The 17,573-nt window shown below is 36.2% G+C and overlaps 2 protein-coding genes across 4 annotated transcripts in view; both read left to right on the top strand.

Moving 5' to 3' along the window:
* The window catches only part of ASB3 (ankyrin repeat and SOCS box containing 3), a 116,974-nt gene that overhangs the window by 34,886 nt on the left and 64,515 nt on the right, over positions 1-17,573 (top strand). For all 3 annotated transcript variants that reach the window (NM_145863.3, NM_016115.5, NM_001201965.2), the window contains one exon: positions 1,127-1,285. In NM_145863.3, the coding sequence (NP_665862.1) occupies positions 1,150-1,285 (136 nt within the window). In that variant the 5' untranslated portion in view covers positions 1,127-1,149. The remainder of the gene's footprint in view (positions 1-1,126; positions 1,286-17,573) is intronic.
* Positions 1-17,573, top strand: part of GPR75-ASB3 (GPR75-ASB3 readthrough) — a 189,675-nt gene that overhangs the window by 107,900 nt on the left and 64,202 nt on the right. The window contains exon 3 of the mRNA NM_001164165.2: positions 1,127-1,285. Within this exon, the coding sequence (NP_001157637.1) occupies positions 1,127-1,285 (159 nt within the window). The remainder of the gene's footprint in view (positions 1-1,126; positions 1,286-17,573) is intronic.

Genomic DNA, 17,573 nt, shown 5'->3' with positions numbered 1-17,573 from the left:
GTCTTTGTGTTCCTAGGTTTTCATGTCATTTGTATTCACAAAACTGTCAGGTTAATACATGAAATAAGGGTCATGTCTGACTAATCTCCGACTAATCTCAATAAACTACTTTGAATAAGAGTCAACTTCTGACTAATCTCTGAAACCCTATTTCTGTGATATGTCCTTTTAAAATATGACTACTCTATCTTGCCCTTTAGTTGTGCATCTGTGAAGTTTGAGACTGTTTTCTTTGAATATATGTACTTAGAAGCTGTTACTGGGATATCATGGCTTAATCTACTTGTTTCATCAGTGAGTTACAATGACAAGAATTACTTAAAATAGATAACTAGTTAGGAGCATTTGTTTCAATTCTGACACTTCAAGAAAATGTTTAAGTTTTTTTTTTTATTTTCTGTTTAGTTTATTCCAGCTCTCAGAAATGTCTTCACCCTTCACTTTAGAGCCCATCTTTCTATAATGGGCATAGAATTTTATTGTGTAAATATCATTTGTATAATTTGAGTGTTACCAGAACCTTGACGTTTTCATGACAAATACATTTCGGAAACTTTAACTCATAAATTCCTTATTATATGTCACTGGTTGTGTTAGAGTGCATTTTATTCTTTTAGAACTGCAGTTTTCATTAACAATTAAACCATAGTCTTAAGTTAGAAAAGGAGTATTTAAAACTGCCTCATGGTATTAGTTGACTACAAGGAAGTAATGGTAAGAGATCAGACCATTTCCCTTATAGAAATTTAAAAATAAAAAAATAAAATTGATGAATATTTCGATAAATTCTGTTTAAGCAAATATTTAGTGCTGCATCCTCCTCAGACTATTGCTTTTGTTACCTTTCAATTTCTGCCACTCCTCTTCCCTTATTCACCAAAAATTAGAGAAGAGAAAATGGGAGCTAGTGGACAGGATTTGTGTATTAAGAATACCAAAGAGCTGTTCACAGTGGGATCTCTGTAGAACTTTTTCTTGATTTTCTATAGTTTTAAATGGTGAAACCTGTCATTTATACATTACTTACATTTTAATAGTTCATTAAATTCCTCTTGGAATCTTTGCTTTTTAAAACCAGGAAATAGAAGTAATACCTTCTAGTTGATGGGCTTTGATTCTTCCACAGATTCATCTGAAAACTACATTAAGATGAAGACCTTTGAAGGTTTCTGTGCTTTGCATCTCGCTGCAAGTCAAGGACATTGGAAAATCGTACAGATTCTTTTAGAAGCTGGGGCAGATCCTAATGCAACTACTTTAGAAGAAACGACACCATTGTTTTTAGGTAAGTATGCTATTTGTGGTGCAGATGCAATTTTTCATCATTATTATTTTTTTGTTAAACTAAGCTTAATTTTTCCTTCAGCTGTTGTGCTTATAGTATGTTCTTTTGGCAACTATCATACCACTACTTCCTTGATTTTTGAAACTGAAAAGATATTTTTAAAGGTTTTGCTCTTGTTTTCTATTCTTGGGTGGTAGCTTCTGGGACTTTGTTTATTTAAAGTTGCAAAATCTGTTTCGAATTGTAGGCACCATCATTGTTCTCACTGTAGTTCTGAAGACCAGGTATCACTTAAATTGTAGCAGTAGTTGCAAGGTTACCTGTGAATGCTTTATGTTTGCTTTTGCCTTTTCTTAACATTAAAAAATTAAGAAGCTTTTATGGAAGAAATCACCAGCTAATACTTTAATGCCAGTTAATGTGTTGCCTGTATGGATCTGTTTTTTAATTCAGACCTCTTCTGTTACAGACTGTTTTTTAATTCCTTAAGGACGACAGCCAAATTCTAAATGGCTTTCTTCCAATAACTGTCTTTTTTCTTCTTTTCCTCCTTTTTTCTATTCGATTCTATTTGTCTTCAGGGACATTGTGTCCCATAAAGTTTAGTGGAACATGAGAAAATTGAGTCAATGAAGCGTTTGGAATAGAATCAGTGCATCTGGACTATAGTTTTGGTCCTGCCACATGTAATTTGTATATTTATTTATTTACTATATGTTTCAGTATCCTCACTTATAAAATGAGAGTAATAGTACCTATCTAGTCTTTGTTATTGGTCTGAGAATGAAATGAGTTGTCTGTGAAAGTACTTTTTTTCCTTGTGGACTTAAAAATATTACTTAAATTTATGTACTTTAGTAAAATTCATTCTTTTTAATATAACAGTTCTGTGAGTTTTGATGTATTCATAAAATTCTGTAATGACAACAATCAAGATATAGAACCATTCCATCACTCCTCAAAATTCCATCATGCTGCCAATTTTTAATCAATATTTTCTTCCCTCTCCCCAGCTCCACCCCTGACAGTGACTGATCTGTTCATATATATGAATTAATATACACCATATAGCCTTTGAGACTGGCTTCCTTTAGCTGTCATGATACTTTTGAGATTCATCCATATTGTTGCATGTATCAATAATCCATTTCTTTTTGTTAGCTGAATCGTATTCTATTAAATAGATGTGATTAAATAGATGTGATACAGTTTATCCATTTATCAGTTGGATATTTGAGTTGTTTTCACTGTTTAGTGGTTACGACTAAATCTCCTATAAACATTTGCAGACAGGTTTTGTATCAATATAAGTTTTTATTTCTCTTGGGTTAATACTTAGGATTGGTATGACATATGGTAAATATATGTTTAACTTTGGGAAACAAGTTGGAAGTTTTTTTCTACTGGTTTGCATTTCGTTCAGTAATGTTTGAGACTTTTAGTTGCCCCATATCCTTGCCAACATTTGCTATTGCCAGCTTTTTCTTTTTCTCCCTTACATCTTAGTAATTCTAATGGAGGTTTAGTAGTATCTCACTGTGGTTTTTATTTGCATTTTCCTAATTGCCAATGATGTTGAGCATCTATTCATATGATTATTTTCCATCTTTCCTTTTTCCTCATTACTTTTGTATTTAGACGTTTTGTTTTGAAATAATTTCAGACTTATGGAAGTAGTCAATAACAGTACAAAGGGTTCCTTATATACTTTTCACCCAGATTTTCTTCTTTTGCCAGGTTTGTCATTTAATTTCCTTCTTTGTATTTTTTTTAATCCTTTTGAGATTAAGTGGTAGACATCACGCTCCTTTACTTCTACTTCAGTGTGAACTCCTAAAAGCAATAAAATTCTGACTACCATATGATGATCATAATCTTATCAGGAAGTTAACATGGATAGAATAGTATTATTTGGTCTACAGCCCTCATTCAATTTTTTCGTGAATGTCTTTTATAGCAACAGAAAAAAAGATTTTGGTCCGTGATGAATCCAAGATCACTTGTTATATTTAGTTGTTATGTCTCTTTGGCTTCCTTTAATTTGGAACAGTTTTTTAGTCTTTTATGATTTTAACTTTTTTAAGAGTTCAGGTCATTGATTTTGTATAATATCCTTCGATTTGGGTTTGTCTGATGTTTCTTCCTGATAAGGTTCAGGGTTTGTGTTTCTGGCAGGAATACCACAGAAGTGCCATGGTATCTTAGTGCATCTTACCAGGAATAATATGACACATTACTAGTAATGTTAATTTATGAAAGTACTTTGAATATGCGAAAAGTATTTTACACGTTTCATGGAAGCTTTGGTTTAATGTAGCTTGGGTTTCCTAGAGGAGTGATTGCTTTTTTATATTAAGTTTCTTTTTTCCCCTGCACCTGCATTTAACCTACTTTGGATATTCTGTACAACTACAGAGGAAGCATTTATTGAGGCTCAGCTATACGCAATCTCCATTCTAGCCGCTTTCCTCAAGAAATCGTCTACGTGGAGGAGTAAAAAAGGTGATTTTACAAGTTTGAGATTTTAAAAGGGAGAATAATTAGTCACCCTTGAATGACAGAAGACTTCATGTGCAGAGTGCTGTATTAACAGTAACAATAACATTTATTAAGCAGAGTGTATACTAAGCCTTGTGTGGGTGTTTTACATGAAGCAGATAATTGGATCTTCACTGTGATTCTGAGACATGTACTATTATTATTCCCACTTTTACAGGTGAGGAAACTTTAAAAAGACTGGATTTAGGAAGAGAAGAGCTATCTTTGAATCTTGATCTTGCTGTTGTCTGTGTTTTGGGTAGAAAACTGATTCAGTGAACTATTAAAAACATGTTTATTGACAAAAGGTTTCCTAATCACATACATTTGCGAAACACTATGTGCTATATCCCCCAGTGTAGAAAAACATGAAGACATTACATATGTGACTTATTGTGCCCACCCTGTCTGAAGTATCCACTGATCTCTTTATGCATTCTCTTTTAGTGTCTTCATCACTGACTCCAGTTAATTATTACTCCCTTGTTTATTTACTGCCCCCTTAACTAGAAAGAGTGTTCCATTAAGGCAGGGATTTTATTCATCTTGTTCACTGTTGTAACTCCCAAACTCAGTTTAGTGCCTGGTATATGGTAGGTATTCAGTAAATTATTTGTTAAATAAAAGAATGAAGGATTCTGAGAAGACCTCTCTTAAACAACATTTGTTTATCGCAGAGCTTTGAAACGTATTTGACTGTACTGTTCTTTCAGTCTCGTTGTCCAGCCTGGAGTGCAATGGCACAATCTCGGCTCACTGCAACCTCTGCCTCCCGGGTTCAAGTGTTTCTCCTGCCTCAGCCTCCCGAGTAGCTGGGATTACAAGCCCCCGCCACCACGCCTGGCTAATTTTTATATTTTTAGTAGAGATGGGGTTTCACCATGTTGGCCAGGCTAATCTGGAACTCCTGACCTCAGGCGATCTGCCTGCCTCAGCCTCTCTAAGTGCTGGGATTACAGGCATGAGCCACTGTGCCCAGCTGTATTCTTTTTCTTTATGGAACATTTAGGAATACCTCCAGAAACATTGATATTCCATGGGACTATTTGAGAAATGCTATTCTGGCCACATAGTTTACAGTTTCAAATTATTATTATTATTATTAGAGTCCCATTTATGAAATTCAGTATTGTGCCTACTTTTATTAGTATTTGGAGAAAATTAGAGATGCATAGTTTTTAGGGGTTTATATTTCAACATGTAGTTAACTTGTACTTTTTTATGTTAATGAAGCAAGGGATGGGAGATAATTCAAACCAGTAAATAACTTTAAATCACTTATTTTTAGTAGTAGGATTTATTTTGTTTCTGTGGCAGTGAATTTACCATTTTGTAAATGGTAAATTTGTATTGACTAAGAAATAAATCTTTTGTATTGACTAATACAAAATACCGTGCCTGGCCAATATAGTATTTAAAAAAAGGAAAGTAGAGCCTTAGTGTTTGTAAAAACATAATGTGGAAGGGCCAGGTGTGGTAGCTCACATTTGTAATCTCAGCACTTTGGGAGGCCGAGGCGGGCGGATCACCTGAGGTCAGGGGTTCGAGACCAGCCTGGCTAACATGGTGAAACCTCGTTTCTACTAAAAATACAAAAAATTAGCTGGGTGTGGTGGCACATGCCTGTAATCTGAGCTACTTGGGAGGCTGAGGCTGGAGAATCACTTGAATCCGGGAGGGCGGACATTGCAGTAAGCCAAGATTGCGCCATTGCACTCCAGCTTGGACAACAATAACTCTGTCTCAAAAAAAAAAAAAAGAAAAAACCCCCCAAAAAACAGTGTGTGGAAGAATGGGCATGTATACATCAGTGTTGTGTATGGAAAAAATAGGAATGGACATATAACTCTTTAGTTAGATAATATGGGTGTCAGTGTCTTCTCTGCATCATGAATAATAGGACAAACTTTAGCACTCTGCCTTGCTCACCTTTACCTTTTTTTATTTTTTGATGTAGGGTCTTGCTCTTTTGCCGAGGCTGGAGTGCAGTGGCAAAATCATAGCTCACTACAGCCTCAAACTATTGGGCTCAAGTTATCCTCCTGCCTCAGCCTCTTGAGTAGCTGGGACCACAAGCACCGCCACCACACCCAGCTAATTTTTTTTTAATGTTTAATTTTTGTAGAGTTGGGGTCTTGCTATGTTGCCCAGGCTTGTCTTCAAGCGATCCTCCTCCCTTAGTTTCCCAAAGTGCTAGGATTACAGGCATGAGCCACTGCACTTGGACAATCTTTTTATCTTTTAAATAACCATATAGTGATTCCTGCTTCAGTCTATAATGGAAGAGTTTTAAAATTAAAACAAAATCCAAAATAATTCAAGGTTTGTATCAAACTACAAATAATTTCTAGATGAGGAAGAGTAGCTGGACTAGTTGGACTTAAAGTGAGAAAGGAAGGTTAACCTGTCTAGAATAGCTTCCTTTCCCATCTGTAGAGTTAGCTTCCAAAACTGAAAATTTGGAATATGTTGTTTGAGGTATTTTGTTTCTCTCCCTCAAGGGAAGCTATACTCTATTACATGTTATAGGACCTGTCCTGATGGCCCAGTTAGCACTAGCCTATTGCTAGAGGCTATAGAATATAAACCCAGAGGATCTAGGGGTAGAAAGTGAATATGGAACTATGGAAATCTCCCAGGTGACCGGAAAAGTTGTTGACATGAGAGGTGTGTTGGATCTGATTATGACTGAACATAAAGCTAAATGGAGGGACTCTGGAAAGTCGACTGCTCCACTGTTTGTAATGGGACTATCTTCTTTACACAGAGCTCACCAACATTTTAATAAAGATGAGCTTTAAAAGGGAACTCTTCAACTTAATGGCAGTAGGAATCAAAATGAGAAAACCTCACGAGAAAGGGGAAATTCAGGGAACATCTCATCTTTCTACATGAATATTGTCCTTCCAGAACATCTTTTTGCTAGCACACAGGTTAGAGTTTATTTTTTAACAAGGAGTCTTGCTGCCTTATTTCTTTTCTCTACCCTTGTCTTGTCCTTCCCCTGCTCTCTTTCCCTTCCCCTTGCTCCATATACACATAATAAATATTCTAAGGGTAGGTAAAACTGCTTTGGAAATAAAGATATTCTTGTTGATAGCTATAATAAATTCTAAGTGAAAAATCCAGCTAATATTTAGGAAATAGATTTCCTTTTTATTTTGTTATATTTAGAAAACATTGCTAAATTGGAGGCTCAAATCCAAACTAGTGTGATTTCATAGGACACTCCATGGGAACTGCATGGCATGCGCTTTTGGCTTTTGATGGATGGTTTTTCATTTTTTGTTTTTCTGAGTTTGCTTATTCTGTGTAATATTTAATAAGAACAGAATGTTTTATAAATAGTGTTGGGTGAGGCTGCCTATTTCAATATTTAACTGTAAAATGTGTCATACTTCAGCTCACATAGCATATGCTTTAACTTTGACTCTGCTGACATATTCTAAAATTGAACAAACCACCATGTGATTCACTTTTCATTAGTGTCTTCATGGATAAGTGATCATTCATAAGGCTATTTTTTGATGTGCTATGAATTTTGTGGTTTCACATTCATATCTCTTTATATATTATGTTAATAAAACTTTGCTTTGGAGGTTTTTTTTTAGATTTTTCAACTGGAAGATTAATCTTCAGTGATTGTCATGTAAGCATTTTTACTTGAGGACATGTTCTTTAAAATACGGGTTTGAGTTTTCTTAGATTGAAAGTATGGAGTTTACTAAAAGTTACATTTAAAAAGTGTTAATTTCATGTTCTGGTTTTACTTTTGTTTGTTTTTTTAGTTTTATGGTTCTTGATACAACTTTATATTACACCTATGTTTTATTTTTTTTAATTTTTTTATTTATTTTTTTGAGACAGAGTCTCGCTCTGTCTGCCCAGGCTGGAGTGCAGTGGCACTATCTCGGCTCACTGCAAGCTCTGCGTCCCGGGTTCATGCCATTCTCCTGCCTCAGCCTCTCAAGTAGCTGGGATTACAGGCGCCTGTGACCACGCCTGGCTAATTTTTTTTTTTTTTGTATTTTTAGTAGAGATGAGGTTTCACCGTGTTAGCCAGGATGGTCTAGATCTCCTGACCTCGCAGTCCACCTGCCTCGGCTTCCCAAAGTGCTGGGATTACAGGCGTGAGCCACTGCGCCCAGCCACCTTTCTATGTTTTAACACAATGTCTTTTAATTACTTTTTTTTTTTTTTTTGAGACAGAGTCTCACTCTGTCACCCAGGCTGGAGTGCAGTGGTGCGATCTCTGCCTACTGCAACTTCCACCTCCAGGGTTCAAGGGATTCTTGTGCCTTAGCCTCCCGAGTAGCTGAGCTTACAGGTGCCTGCCACCATGCCAGGCTAATTTTTGTACATTTAGTGGCGATGAGGTTTCACCATGTTGGCCAGGCTGGTCTCAAAATCCTGACCTGAAGTGATCCGCCTGCCTCGGCCTCCCGAAGAACTGGGATTACAGGAGTGAGGCACTGCACCTGGCTTTTAATTCTTTAATGTAAGCAATTATGAAACTAGGATACTTATTATCTTTCTGGTTTTACCTTCATATAATTAAATGTATTTATATAATGTGTTATTTTATTAGTCACATTTGATTAATAGATTTAAACCTCCAGCTTTTAAAGATGAGGAAATCAGTATCCTTATATTGTTCTTACATAACTCTCTTTCTCCCCCCGCTTTTCCAACTTTTGTCAGTTATATTTGCATTGTTAGTGGGAATAACATTTTGCATTTTGTTCTGGCATCTTAAATGCATCATTTAACTTTATTCTTAGTTCCACGGTTAAATAGCTTAGAAGTTTATCACCAGTTATTTTGGCATGTTTTTTCCAGCCTTGTTTGGTTAGCTAAATAATTCCTTTAACACAGTCCTTTAACAGGACCTATGGCAGTACTATTCCCTGAGTTTTTACATGTTCAAAATTGAATAATTTGGCTGGGCGCTGTTGCTCACGCGTGTATTCCCAGCACTTTGGGAAGCTGAGGTGAGAGGATCACTTGAGGCCAGGAGTTCGAGACCAGCCTGGGCAACAGAGTGAGACCACCCCATCTCTGCAAAAAAAAAAAAAAAAAAGGTAAAAAAATTGAATCACTTAAATTGAATAATGATTCAAACTTGAACAGCAGTTTGATCAGGTACAAAATCCTTGAATTACATCCCTTTCCTTGAGAACTTTAAAAATGATGATCCATTCTGTTCTAGAGTTGAAGTCTGAAGCTAGCCTAATTTTCTTCTCTTTTTGTGACAATACTTTTGCTTGTCCATTCCTTATCAGTTTTCTCTGACACAGTGTGTGTCCTTTCAATATGTAGACTTGGATATTTTAAATTTTAGTTAATCTTTCTGGAATTATATCTTTAAATATTTGTCTGTTCTGTTATTATGGTGGTGTTCTTGGGCCAGCGTGTTTACATGTTGGTATCTTATCTGTTTTCAATGTCTATTGTTTTTTCTCTATTTTTCTTTCTCTGTGTTTTTGTTTTACTTTTCCTGTTTTTTTTTTAAGCCTCTATGTTCCTCTTCAGAAATGTCTATTCTGTCTAGTGTTTCTTTCAATTTCAATTGGATTTTTTATGATTGTTTTTGCTTTTCCCAGGTATTTTCTGAATTCAGTTTAAATTATATCATTTCCTGTCAGCCATTTTTTTACTGAGCACTTGTATTTCAGTGTTGGTGCTGTTTTCACAGAGACAATTGCTTCCTTAACTTCTTTTTTAAAATTTACAGTTGTAGATTTAGCTACAATTTTCCTTTGGTTTGTGGTAATATTTTTCAGATGAGAGGTTTTTGCTTTCTTTTGTTGTTGGTCTATTGTTTTTCTATAACTTTTCTTCCTTTATTCTTGTATCTTTGTATGGATTTGTGCTGGTACCTTTGTGATAATTCATCTTGGGAATATGTGAGTTTTTGCTCAATTAGCTGCTTTCAGGAGGTTTATAATAGGAAGGAGGTAGAGGCACATTCCATATTATGGAGTTTTCCTTTAGACTCAGGATTTTTGGACATGAATTCATTTAGCTAGTATCTTTCACTAGCCATTGGGGGTTGGCAGCTGTGGGATTTTTGCAATACAGTTTCCCATTTGTGGTAGCAGAGATAGACCACTTTGTGTGATTCTTTTTTTGGATCCAGTCCCTCTGATTTTCGGATTTCAACTGGTCCAGAGAAGTTCCTGCTGCTAGCCTGTGCATTTTTTCCTGGTACTTAGTTTTGTTCCTCAGAGGGAGCCCCTGACCTTTGAGAAGTGTTCTTTGCTAGCTTTTTCTTAGATGTGCAGCTGACACATCTGTCCTCTTTCTCCCACAAGTACCCAGGATTGATCGTCATTCTTTTGGAGCCCCTTTTACAAATTTTGATCTGGAGTTCAAAAATCTAAAACTAGAATTATAGTTTTACTAAAAATGGAGAGTGTGTTTTTATTTTATTTTTCTTGCTGATGTTGGATTAATTGCTTTTGGATGATTTCTAAGAAAAGTAAAGGGAAATGCCTATATTGTGCTACAATATTAAAATTGGAAGTCCATATTCATTTTTAAAGTAAAACAGAAATTCTCGATTTCAGTATTTTTGTAATAATTTGAATTCTAGTATATGGTAGCAGTGAATAGACCTAGATAAAATCTCCCTCAACCCCAGTCCATACAATACAATCTCTGTTCTAGTTAGGTACCGTAGAGCAGTGCCACTCAAAATGTCAGTCGATTTATATAAGAAGCTTGAACCATTATATAAATCAATATATTGGTTTCTTCATCAAGGAAGTCCTGTCTCAAGGAAAATGTCAGCTAAAATAAAGTGTGCTTAGAGACATAGTTGTTTATATTCTGTTCAAAACTTCTTACCTTGTTGAGGACTGATAACAATTTGCACATTGACAGCCAGTTTGTGACAATGTTGAGTAGCCCTGCTGTACAGCATGCCATGCCTTTGTGGCTATCAAACTGGATTGTTACATGGTTAATGCAATTGTCTCTTCATTCTTCATGATTACTAATGCCATTGGCCAACTAATGATATGTGATTATCATTGGTTAGTATGGCTAAAATGGAAATGTTGCTCCTACATAAATAGGACTCTTTGGGATTAAGGATAGTCTGTCCATACACTTTTTCTTTGATAGGGAACTCCCAGAATATTTTGTTTCTCTAAGCCTTAGTATGGGTCATTCTTACAAGGTGGATCTAGTAAGGAGAATACTGCTGTATGAATGCTTCAAAAAGTTGAATAATTTCTGAAAGTAGTAGAATTACAGTGTTATAGCCCTAGAAGAAGGTGTAAGTTTAGGGATGTGTTATCTAAATCAAATGTTTCTTGACTCTGCTGCTGGGGAGACATACGGAAAAATAAACAATATATAATAGGATAGTGGAATTTTAGCTTTTTGTCTTTTAATACTTTCATTTGATTGAAGGATGTATTTTTCTGGATATGGTCTCTGATGTCTAATTGGCCATTAGACTTCTCCCTGTCTGTTAGAAACCATGAGAAATGTCAGTGATAACGTGGATGATTGGATTGGGATATTCGCCACAACGTTTTTGTTATATCCCTAACATAATGAGTTTTGCCCAGAAGATCATGGTTTTTCCCATCAGTATGCATCTTTAAGATTGTTAGCCACTGGGCAGACATGAAGAAATTTATAAAACAGAAATATAACTTTTTAGTATAATTTTTAAAAAATTCTGTATATCAATAAAATACTACATTTCAGACTAAAGATTTTAATAATTGTTCTGCTGCCTTGGGTATAAGTAAAGTGCTGGAAAAACATAAACTTGAGGATACATAGAATAAATGGACAACACTGGAAAAAAAAATTCCTTTGTCATAGCAATAATGGAGTTTCTTTTCTAGTGCCACCAGATGTCAGTATGAACACAGGACCAGAGAAATACTGCAGGAGATAAATGTTCTTACAAATGTTCCTTTTTTGGTTCATGAAAGAGGTGGGGGAAAAAAGTTTTACATAAACTAGCTATACAATGAAAAAATAATTTTACTGTTCAATTGTATAGAAAAATGAAATGCATAATGGAGAACAGAGTACATGTAGAACTCAAAAAAGTAGAGATACCATTAAAAATTCATATATAATTCAAATGTAAAATTGAATATATAGATGATTTCTGCATAGCCAGCCAGCCTGCTGCTATAACTGGAGGAGATGGACAGCCTGTGGTTAAACTTTTCGTTACAGACTTACTGACCATGTCATTTTTTAGAATTATTGTCAAAATCTGAGCCTCAAAATGAAAGACTAGGCTGGGTGTGGTGGCTTATGCCTATAATCTCAACATTTTGGGAGGCTGAAGTGGGAGGATCACTTGAGCCCATGAGTTCAAGACCAGCCTAGGCAACATAGCAAGACCTTGTCTCTACAAAAAATGGAAAATGAGCTGTGTGGGTGGTGCATGCCTGTAATCCCAGCTACTCATGAGGTTGAGGTGGGAGCATCGCTTGAGCCCAGGAAGTTGAGGCTGCAGTGAGCCGTGAATGTGCCACTGTCCTCCATCGTGGGTAACAGAGCCAGACCCTATCTTAAGAACAAAACAAAACAAACAAAAAAATGAAACAGTATATTTTCTAGCTAATAGAGATAAAACTCACTGTAATTTTCATTTGGTACAAAATTGTGTTTATAATTGTAATTTGTACAGAATTGTTATGGTAATTCCCTAGAACTCATAGTCACATTAAGCATTTTTCTAAAAGAGCATTCACTAAGATAATTACATTTAAAAAATGTCCCTTAAAAAAGCTTTTTCTTTAATGAATGCTATATTAAACAATGATCATTATTTACTATTTCTAGTTAGATTTAGTACTTACATGTATGTATAGGTCTACCATATTTCTCCCAGATGAGAGTCCCGTTTTGAGTTCTTGCTTTCATGAAATCTTCACATGGGGCTTTGCTTGTAACTGTACTCAATATGTTGCATGCCACAACTGAGTTGATTTTGGTCAAAAGTTTTGTGTGGGTCAAAGGCTGCTTCTAGTTTCTCAATTTCCTGTTTTCAAAAATATTTTGTTACCTAAGATATGTTTTTCCAGATTGCTTCATTTTTCCTCTAATTTAGGAAATGGAAAAAGGTGTTTTTTCAAAACCAGAAAATGTCTCCCTAGAAATTATTGCAGGATATGTTCTCATGCCATTTTTGCTTTCTTAAGCATTTACAATTAGAGATTTCTTCCATACTATGTTATATGATCCATTGTGGGAAAAGCAGTGTTCCTACCCTCAGAGGTTCTGGCTTTTCTCTTCTACCTGTTTGGAGTCTTACCTGTTTGGATTGAAGAGGGGAAAGTCTTTCTCCCATATCTCTGTGTACTCCAGACACTTGGAGCTCTGCCTTCTGAAATGCGGTCTTTTATTTCATCCTTAATCTTTTTCCTTGGTCTCTGGTCCCTATTGGATACCATTTTTTAATACCAGATACTATGATTCTGCTTTCTTTTTCTTTCTAGGAACCCACAGTACTTTTCTAGCTTCTAGAATTACACCTTATCTTTCTGTCTTTGACACTTACTCCAAGACCTGCAGCTGATCGCCTGGCTCTCTGTTTCCAATGCTAAATGGGTATCTTGAAGACAGGTATACCTAGTATTCTAGGTTAAATTTCAATTCAATTCAATTCTAATCTCTAGACCAGTCCTACCCAATAGAACTTGGAATTGTCCTATATCTACATTGTCCCTTATGATGGTCACTAGCCACATGGGGCTCTTGAACACTTGAAGTTTGTCTGGTTTGATTGAAGAACTCAAATTTTAATTTTATTCCATTTTAATTAATTAAAATTAAAATTTAAACAGCCAAATGAAGCTTCTGTCTTCTATATTGGAGAACAGTTCTAGAGAGCAACAGAATGAGTGCAGTTCTTCATACATCCTTAACTGAACAGTAGTCCTGTTTTATTTTTGAAATATTTATCTCCTTTGCCCTAACATGTGGTCCTAGATGGGTCTCACATAAAAAGGCGAAGGAGCAAAGAAACACCAGCTTAGCCAACTAGTTTTGCTTATCAATAGGATGGTAAAAGTCACAACTGAATTTTTCTCATTATCCTCCATTGATTAGGTGATTATCAGGCCTCTACACTATCAGGCTTAGTTCCTGATATCATGGGCTTACAATTTAATTGAGGATATTATAATAACCAGAATTCAAGATAGGCTGTAATAAATACCATAAGAGGTACACAGTATATGAAGCTTAGTTCTGTCCTAATTACTGTGTTGTTATTCTGCTGTGGATTTATCTATTTCTTGTCTCTTCTCTCTCCCTGTTTCTTTAGGTTTTAAATCATTTTTCAATTAATATACACTTTAGTATTATTGAGTAAATAGGACAGTGTTCAGTTTGATTTTTATTCTGATGTGTTTTAAAAAATTCAGGGTATACTATATGCACATTAGGAATATTTTAGATATTCAAAGTGTTCTCGAAATTTTCGTTTTGAAATTCCCTTCAGAATTTGTGGCAGTCTTTTTTTTTTTTTTTTTTTTCCTTTTTTAAAACGTCCTGGACAATTTCACATACACAAAAGCTTGGAGACATCCTTCCCCTTCCTCTCACAAGTACCCAGGATTGATCTCCATTCTTTTGGAATAGTATGGTCTCATCACTCTGACTTAGCCAGAAGTCTTAGGAGTTCCATGGCCCCTCAGTAGTGTTTGACTTCTAATTATTTCTGTTCCATTCTTGACCCTTAAGCAGTTTTTATTTGCCTTACCTTGTACATGTGCAACCTACGCTTGAACCAAGGACCCTTGGGCAACTTCCACACAGAGGCCTCCTGTCTGCACAATTCACTCTTCTCTAGGGCCTTACCTGCAGATTTCAACCACTTAAATTCTAATCTCTGTCTCCTCAGTTTACTACTGCACTTGAGCCTCTTTCCTCTGGTTGGAGTACACCTTTCCCAACCTTACTGTTGCTCTACTTGGACTTCAGCTCACTGTACCGTAACGGGGAAATGTCCCCAGGTACAGAGCTGGGGTGATCATGGGCTCATCTCTTGTGTTTCACTTCTCTCGGGAATCACAGTTGTCTGCCTGTTGATTAATACCCGAGTAAGTTACCTTATATATTTTGTCCACTCTTATGATTGTTTTGGATGGATGGCTAGTTTAGTACCAGTTATACTGTCATATCCCAAAGTATAATTCTGAAGCTTATTCAATTTGGCGAGGGAATCTTAAAAAGAGAAATCAATATCTTCTTTTAGACATATTTTTTTCTTTTTTGAGACAGAGTCTTGCTCTGTTGCCTAGGCTGGAGTGCTGTTGCATGATCTCGGCTCACTGCAACCTCCGCTTCCTGGGTTGAAGTGATTCTTGTGCCTCAGTGTACTTGGGACTACAGGCATGCACCACCACACCTGGCTAATTTTGTATTTTAATAGAGACTGGGTTTAAACATGTTGGTCAGGAATTCCTGACCTCAGGTGATCTGCTCACCTTGGTCTCCCAAAGTGCTGGGGTTACAGGTATGAGCCACTGTGCCCTACTCAATTTTTTTTTTTTTTTTCTGAGATGGAATCTCACTCTGTCGCCCAGGCTGGAGTGTAGTGGCGCGATTTCGGCTCACTGCAAGCTCCGCCTCCTGGGTTCACACCATTCTCCTGCCTCGGCCTCCCAAGTAGTTGGGACTACAGGCGCCCGCCAACATGCCTGGCTAATATTTTTGTATTTTTAGTAGAGACAGGGTTTCACCGTGTTAGCCAGGATGGTCTCGATTTCCTGACCTCGCGATCCGCCTGCCTCGGCCTCCCAAAGTGCTGGGATTACAGGCGTGAGCCACCGCACCTGGCCTCCAATTTTAAGGTTATTAATTTATGTCACCACCACCTGGATATGATAGTTCCACTTTTACCACATCCCTGCCGGATACTTACTCTGTGTTTCATTTTAAATATTCTGGTGGGTGGTGTTGTGGGTGCTCACTGAGGTTTTCATTTGCATTTCCCTAATGGAATGACAAGAAGGTGAGTACTTTTCCATGTATTTTATTAGCTATTTGCATATCCTCCTTTGTGAAGTTCCTGCACAAATTTTCTCATGTTTTAAAAATAATTTATCTTTTTATTGATTTAAGGAGTTCTTAATTTTAACGTGGTCCAATTTATCACTATTTACCTTTATGTTTATTGCTTTTAATATGAAGATTAAAAATTATTTTTCTATTCCAAGATCAGTTTGTAGATTTTTCCTTTCTTTTTTTTTTTTTTTTAGAAGGTTTGTTGTTTCTAAATCCAATCTGGAATTTAATTCGCAATCCATCTGAAATTGGGTATTGTGTGGGACAGGGGTGAAGATTTTTTTCCCCATATGGATATTCAGTGGACCCAAAACCATTGTCACCTTTGTCATAAAAGTGACCATTTGTTGAAGGTATCTGTTTCTGCAGTTTCAGTTGTTTTATTAGTCTCTTTCTCTATCCTGTGCCAATACCATGCTACCTTAATTATTCCAGCTTTATTAGTTTTGATAGCTGCTTGTATGAGTCCTCTGGCTTTATTCTACATGATTTTTTTGGCTTTATTTGGCCCTTTACATTCCCATCTGTATGAATCAGTTTTTGTTTTTTTTTTTCCAACTATTAAGACAATACCTGTAGCACCTTTGGGTATTTTGATTGGGCTCACATTGAATCGTTAGATTGTTTTGGGGAGAATTGATATTTTTAAAATAGTGAATCTTTATATCTATGAACATGGTGTATTCTACTTTTTTTTTTTTTTTTAGATCTTTGCTTTTCTCAGTAGTATTTTGTAGTTTACAGTTTAGAGGTTTTGCATGTTTTATTAAATTTATGCCTCCAGGTCTGTGTTAGGCATGTTGATTTTAAGGGGCTGATAGAATGTCTGGATGGAAATACTTGGCAGGTATTTGGAAATTTGGTTCTGGACCATGAGGGAAAGTTCAGTTAGGAGCAATCATTCGCCTAGAGATGAATTTGCTCAGTAACGTTTCAGAATTGAACAAATTCACTAATAGAGAACATGTATAGGCCGGGCGTGGTGGCTCATGTGTGTAATCCCAGCACTTTGGGAGGCCGAGGCAGGCTAGTCACTGGAGGTCAGGAGTTTAAGACCAGCCTAACTAACATGGTGAAACACCATCTCTACTAAAAGTACAAAAATTATCTGGGCATGGAGGTGTACGTCTATAATCCTAGCTACTAGGGAGGCTGAGGCAGGAGATTCGCTTCAACCTGGGAGGTGGAGGTTGTAGTGAGCCAAGATCGCACCACTGCACTCCAGCCTGGGCAACAGAGCAAGACTCCATCTCAAAAAAAAAAAAAAAAAAACTTGTATAAAGTAAAGGAATAAAAAAATAAATAGAGATTGAAGACAGAATCCTGGTGAGTCATCACATTTCTGAAATAGTAGGATAGAACAACTAAACTAAGAAGAATGAGTTGTTAGAGAAAGTTGTAACACCACAACAGTGCTGTTGACATGGAGAAAAAAGTTTATGTTAGAGAAATATGGGGAATTTAATGCCAGAGGCAGTAGGAACTGAATAGGAGGTTCAAGGCTGAGAAAAGGCCATTGAATTTGATGATGATTTTCAAGGGAATAGCTTTACATGAATTATGGCAGTAGAATTTGCATGATAGTTATTGATTAAGTGATTAAAAGGTCCATGGAGGCAGGTATTTTTGTCTCTTGTTCACTTCTGTATCTCTAGTACCTGGAATATTACCTGGTACATAATAGGCACTAAGTAGA

The sequence above is a fragment of the Homo sapiens genome, chromosome 2 (genome assembly GCF_000001405.40).
Source record: "Homo sapiens chromosome 2, GRCh38.p14 Primary Assembly".
In the NCBI taxonomy this organism is placed as follows: Eukaryota; Metazoa; Chordata; class Mammalia; order Primates; family Hominidae; genus Homo; species Homo sapiens.
The sequence above is the reverse complement of the archived record's forward strand: the minus strand, read 5'-3'. Positions and strand labels throughout refer to the sequence as shown.